The sequence below is a fragment of the Homo sapiens genome, chromosome 17 (genome assembly GCF_000001405.40).
Source record: "Homo sapiens chromosome 17, GRCh38.p14 Primary Assembly".
NCBI lineage: Eukaryota > Metazoa > Chordata > Mammalia > Primates > Hominidae > Homo > Homo sapiens.
In genome coordinates, this window is record NC_000017.11 from 52,672,522 (window position 1) to 52,679,348 (window position 6,827).

At 39.8% G+C, this 6,827-nt stretch overlaps 1 annotated feature.

Annotated features, from left to right (window-relative positions):
• Positions 801–2,000: an enhancer, noted in NCBI's record as "P300/CBP strongly-dependent group 1 enhancer chr17:50750682-50751881 (GRCh37/hg19 assembly coordinates)". NCBI's record gives its function as "activates an origin of replication core promoter dependent on BRD2, BRD4, P300/CBP, MED14 and CDK7 cofactors, with strong dependence on P300/CBP, by STARR-seq in HCT116 cells {active_cell/tissue: HCT116}" and the evidence as "EXISTENCE:reporter gene assay evidence [ECO:0000049][PMID:35650434]".

The window sequence follows — 6,827 nt, forward strand, 5'->3', positions numbered from 1 at the left end:
TAGAAATAAAAATAAAGATAGCCAATAAACTTATGAAAAAATATACAGTGTCACCAATAATTTGGGAGTGCAAACATAACACATATTTTAAAAATTAAGTACTATTCAATATTGCTACAGATATTAAACAGTGACATTTATACCTTGATTTTGGCAGAATATCAACATTTGAAAAATTGTTTGGTGATATTTGATAAATATGAAGATATAAATATACTTTGCCACTGCAATTCCATTTCTAGGAAAATACCTTGTACATATTCAGAAGGGAGTATATAAAAATGTTGATAAAATTATTTGTAATAAAAAAGCTCAAATGTCCATCAGTGAAATACATACCACATTCATGATATTTCTTTTCTCTGGAGAATGAAACAGAAACTTCAAATTTAATTTTTAAAACAAAAATATCTGAAGCAAATATGTTAAAATATGTGAAGAACCATAGCAAGCTGATGAAGTTCAAAGACTGTAGAGTCAAGTTTTTCAGATCCAAATCCCAGGCTATATTTACAACCTGTAGCACTCAATCTCCCCGTATTTCAGTTTCTATATCTGGATTAAATGAAATTTTGGTGAGGATTAAATTAGTTAATATAAACAAAACACATGAACCATTTCTGACATATCATGAAATAACTATAAATGGATAGTTATTATTTTTAATTTGGCTCCAAAAGTGAGTATTCTATTATTAGCCGTTCTTTTCTGTACTTTAAAAAAGGGGGTTAGATCTTTAAATATTAAAATAATAAATCTAATTCAACGTTTTTTATTTATATTTAAGGGGATAGAGATACAAAATAGCACATTCAAGTCCCCAATGGTAGCACTTTCAAGAAGAGCGCTCGTTTTCCCTGACAAACTCTGTGCTATTTCTTCTGTCACATACTACCAGTCACCTTATTTTCTAAGCCCAAAGTTAAACTGTATTTATGATCTGAAACATGATCTGACATGAGACTTAATATTGGAAACCAAGTTGATCTTATGAGAACTCACATATGCACCTTGGGGTGATTTGTTATGTTAGCTCATTGAATTCCTAAAAAAATAGAGTTGAAGGGAAAGGTGAGAGGGAAAATGCACATGAAAGAGATGTTTCATTGTTTATTTACTTGTAATTCCCTTTTTAAAGGTGTTTTTATCCCTCAATGAAAAGTTAGAAAAAGGAAAGTGTTAATGTGTGCGTTTACAGAGGCCCAGGTTAGATTCTAGTTCATTAATGCATGTGAGTATGAAGTCAATATTGGCTAATGGTCAAGAAATTGTTGAGACCTTCCATTTATAATTCTGATATTTCTTGTGCCTCTTCTTCCTTGGTTTCTCAGTCCCTGCTTTGTCCTAGTACTACTTTATTTTTTCCATCAGTTCTTTTACCGCCTCCCCCGACCCCCTGCATTGATGTCACATGTCCTCCTAAGCCCTGCATCCTAGGAAATTCCAGATGACTCACTGTATTGAGTCAGATGGTAGACCATCAAAATGGTATGTCTACCTGTAACCTGTGAATGTGGCCTTATTTGGGTAAAGAGCCTTTGCATATATTATTAGGTTAAGAATATCTAGATGAGATCATACTTGATTTGTATGGGCCTTTGCTCCAGTGACAAGTGTCTTTATAGGAGAAGGGCAGGAAAGAAAACATACACTGTGTCAGTTGATGTGACAGCTGAGGCAGGGACTGTGTCTACAAGCCCAGTGGCACCAGGGATTGCCAATAGTTGCAAGAAACTAGCAGAAAGGCATGGAATGGATTCTCCCTTATAGTATCCAGAAAAATAAAATAAAAGAAAAGAAAAACCCTAGCTAACATGTCACTCTCAGACTTCTGGTTTCCAGGACTGTGAGAGGATAAATTTATGGGATTTTTTTAGTCATCAGTTTTTGATAATTTGTTAATATGAGCCCTAGGAAATGAATACATCTACCCTTGTCATCCTACTAACTTACTGGGATCCTGGGCAAAGGGGAAGTTTTTCTGAGGAGTTATAAAAAGATTTCGGTTAACACAAGAAAATATTGAGAGAAACTTCATGCCTTGCCAATTATCTTTTAGACTCTCAAGGATATGAGGGTGGTCAGGAGCCCACAATGAAAAGATGCAAACCCATGTCTTTCATTAAATACTGTTATTTTGCAAAGAAAAAGTAAAGAACAGGTAAGGAATAAAGCAGGAGTAAGGAGAAATTGAAGTGAATTTTTCCTTGCTGTCATTTACTGAGTATGTCAACTTGAGACACATTTAATTTTAAGGCTTGGAAAACCTTATTCCTATTTTACACTATTTTTATTGCTTTAACTCACACTACCAAAGGAGCTACGTAAGTGGAAACTGTCAATCAACTAAAAAAGAGTCATGGTTTCCATAGTAACCTTCGCTGTTCCTCATAAGTCATCATGCATGTAAAAGTGAGGGGCTGACTGCGGAAGTAACAAGGATCTCTTGTGTCTTAAGGAATTTCATTTTTCCAACAAGACCAAAGAGGTGAAGGGGAAATTGTTCATAAAATTGGCTTCTAAGACCTCAAGAAACCACGAGGTAAAAATAAGTTTTATGTTAACTCTCACTGATTCTCAAAACTGATAAGTTCCATTATAGGTTCCAAATCTTCTTACAGTTATTTATAAGCCATTAATTGGCATACTTATTTATTATTCCCTAAAGTTTTATCAGTATGAGACATATTAAACAGAACTACAAACATCAATGTCAAAAAATCAGTCATATTATTGAAGAACATGGTTATTCTCAAGTTTACTTTAAGAATTGCCTTAGATGCCTATTTAAAATTCATATTATGGAGGATCACCACTGATCTGCAGTAACAGAATCCCCATGTGGGGCCTGGGCATTCTTTTTTTAAAAAATCCCCACCTGTTATCTGATGCAACTGGACTTGCATTAGTTTCGACGTAGTTCCTTAAATCATGCATTTAGACAATGGAAGTCCTTTATAATATCAAGGAAGCTGTCCTCCTGTTTAGTACACAGTTTTCCCAGGTCACCACAGTGAGGCTCAACAGCTAATAACACTTATTGCATAAGAGCACACGGCAGGGTATTTTGCAAGGTTATCACATTAATTCTAACAAAAATTTCATGAAAGAGGGAATAGTGTTAGTCTCATTACAGAAACTAGGAGAATAAGACACCGATTACATACATACTTGCAGCAGTGAAGTACAAGTAACTGATGGAGTTGTCAAACCTAAGTTTGCCAAGCTACAAAACCCCACAGTCCTTTCAGTCCTTTTATAACGGCCTCTAGCTTCATGGTCAAAATAGATTTCTTATGATTGAAAATGAAACAAGAACAAAGGCATACTTCTATTCAATATAATCTGTGGAGGATGGCAGAGTGTCCCATCCCAGGGAAAGGGAGGATTAAAATGTAAAAACATCTAATTTTAATAATGACACCAAATTGCATACGGTTGTATAGTTTTTTTTAAATAGTTTTTATATAAAACGTCTTATTAGATTCTTTCAACAAACTTCTGTGGTAGGTAGGACAGAGGTTATCAGCTACATTTATAGATGACAGCAGGATGGCTCAGAAAAAAAAAGCAGAGGGAGAGAGATTTTCAAGATTGCATTGACAGAGACAAGACTTTTAATTATTTACTTTTTCTAATTCTGTCCATTGTCCCAGAACGTATCCTTATCTTTTCTGAGGATGGCATCCTATCTTCACTGTTAACTCCAACCCCAATCAATTAGGGTATCTGATTTTCAGAAGCCAACATTATGGGGGAAAAGACTAGAAATGACAGTACAATAAGAACATGGACTTGGATTTCAGATTGAGATGTGAGATTCAGCTCTGCAGTATACTAACTATATAAAAGTGCAAATTAAACTGTAAGGCTCAGATTTACTCCCATGTAAAACAGACATCAAACTAATATCCTACATATTTGAGAAGTAAAGCATATAAACCACCTATCCAAGTATCCTGAAATCACTTACTATAGATGCTGGTTGTAGTATACTTGTCACTATCACCATGATTATGAAGGGAGCAAGGGATATGTAAAACAGCACAGATAAAGAGAAGACAGCAGTAAGCCAGGGTGCTATTCCACAGAATGTTTGGCAGAGAGTCAGGCATGTATTATTTTCCTCTCTTTGGGAAGACAGAGGTAGCCTCCACTCCAGGAATGGGATGAGAATGCTTTGTAAGAAGCACTGAGGGGTTTAATAAAAGCTTGATTAAGGGACAGTAATGTCAGCAAGATGGCTGACTACAGATACTTGGCATTCATCATCCTCCACAAGTAAAAACAAAGGCAACAAATAAACAGCTAAGATTTGACTGGAGTGTTGAAAGGAGAGTGCTAGAGTGCAGTGGGAAAGGGGAGATACACCTGTGGTGATTACAAGTCCAGTAGTGCAGTGTGGAAGTGCCTGACCTCTGCAACTCCCATCTTTCTGGCCTAGATCAGATCTACCTGGAGTCAGGAGAAACTTCCTGTTGTGATGAAAAGGTAAGCAGAAGATTCCCACCAGCTCCCATTATCACTGTAAGCATCTACAATCCTTATAACAGGAGACTTCCACTGTCTCCTAGTTGGAAGAGAAACTGAACATTAACACAGCTGCATTGCCCTGGATTAGGAGCACAAAGTGTGCACTCCCCACTTCCAACTCTGCCTGTGAGCCAAGCTGCTGCAGGACAGTGCCACCTTGAGAGTAGAGCCCCCTTTGGAATGTGTCCTGCTTTGACGCCAATAGCCCCTGCACCTCTCCAGTACAGAGATTCCATCTTCATTATGCCAAGCCTATACAAGTGCTTAAATGCCACAATCCCAGGCTGAGCATGGTGGCTCACGCCTGTAATCCCAGCACTTTGGGAGACCAAGGAGGGCAGATCACGAGGTCAGGAGATGGAGACCATCCTGGCTAACCCGGTGAAACCCTGTCTCTACTAAAAATACAAAAAATTATCCAGTGGTGATGGCGGGCACCTGTAGTCCCAGCTACTCGGGAGGCTGAGGCAGGAGAATGGTGTGAACCCGGGAGGTGGAGCTTGCAGTGAGCCGAGATCATGCCACTGCACTCCAGCCTGGGCAACAGAGCAAGACTCCGTCTAAAAAAAAAAAAAAAAAACCCACAATCCCAGCTGCACAGAGTTTGTGCACAGGATTCACTGCGACTGCAACTCTGGTCCTGCACAGCAAGGAAACAAATCCTGTTGCTGCAATTTCAGCCTGAGGAACAGTCTGCCAGTCCTGACCAGGGTGAACCTGCCCTTGAGCTGGCCAAACTACTGCATACCCTCTCCCAAACATGAGCGCTCCCTGAGCCTCTGAGTAACTGATATACCCCCTAGGCCAGTGGGGAATCTAGTCACCCATTTTCAGGACTTGAGAACAGCTCTGTAGTATCCCTGTTCCCAGTAGCTACACCCCTAGCCTATCCAATGGCCTTGTGCCCAAATAAGGGCCTGAGAAACAGCCCCACAGGCAGCTACTGGTAGTCATACCCCTAATCCTGGAACCAGTCAAGAGCCCACATCCAAAACCTAGAAACAGCCCTATGAACCTCCCCTGGTAGACACACCCCTGAGTTTGTCAAGCAGCCTTGCACTTGTGTTCCAGACCTGAGAAACGGACCTACGGGCCACTCACAGCAGACATGCCACCAGGCTGGTTGAGCAACTGCACTCCCATGTCCCAGGCCTACAAAGCAGCCCCATGGGCTGTACCCTGCAGAAATGACCCCAGGCCAGACAAGAAGTTGTGCAGAGAAATAGCCCTGTGCCTTCACATGCCTGAGAAAGAGCCCTGTGTCTCCTTCTAGTAGAAATACCTGTGGGTTAGTCAAGCAACCCTGTGCACATGTACTAAACCTGAGAAATAACCCTAGGGGCTACTCCTAGCAGACATGACCCCAGGCCGGCCAAGCAGCTGTACATTCCCAGGACAATTAAGCAGTCCTGTGTCCACATCATGGACCTATGAAATAGCCCCATGAGTCACCCTCACCAGACATGCTTCCCAGGCCAGTTGAGCAGCTATGTCACCACATATCAGATCTAAGAAATAGCTTCTCAGGCCCTGGGCATGACCCCAGGCCAACAAAGGAGCTGAGTGCCTGCCTCCTGGGACTGAGACATAGCCCCAGAAGCTGCTCTTGGTAGGCATGCTCCTAGGCCAGCTGAGCAATTGTGTGTGCATTGCTCCCAGAGTAAAAGGCCTGTGGTCACAGCCGTAGCAAGCCAGACCCTAAGTTAGCTAATATACAACGTGCACACATATACTCCAACCTGAGAACAGCCCAGTGAGTCCCATTCTGGCAAAGTTGCACCATCATCACCACAAATTCTCTCAGCCTGGGCCACTGAGAAACTCATAAATGCCACTAATGTGGATTACAGGTGAAGAAACTACATGGAGACTACACTACTGCATTTACCTAGAATCAAGGCCAACGCATCCCACCAAAGAAATACTGTAAGACATATTCATACAAATAAGAATTCCCCTATGAAACCTACTTCATAAAATTGGAAGGGATGTCTTTTACTTCAGATGCATAAAAATCAACATAGGAACACTTAAACCATGAAAAAGCAAGGAGATATATCACCACCAAAGAAAAACAATAATTCTCCAGTAATAGATTCCAATAATAAGGAAATATATGAAATTGCAGAATATATGAAATATATGAAAATCCAGAATATTGAATTCTGGAAAAGAATTCAAAATAATAACCTTAAAAACACAGTAAGATACAAGAGGATACAGACAAACAATTCAAAGAAATCAGCAAAATAATTTATGATTTAAATGAGAAACTTGACAGAGATAGATATCAT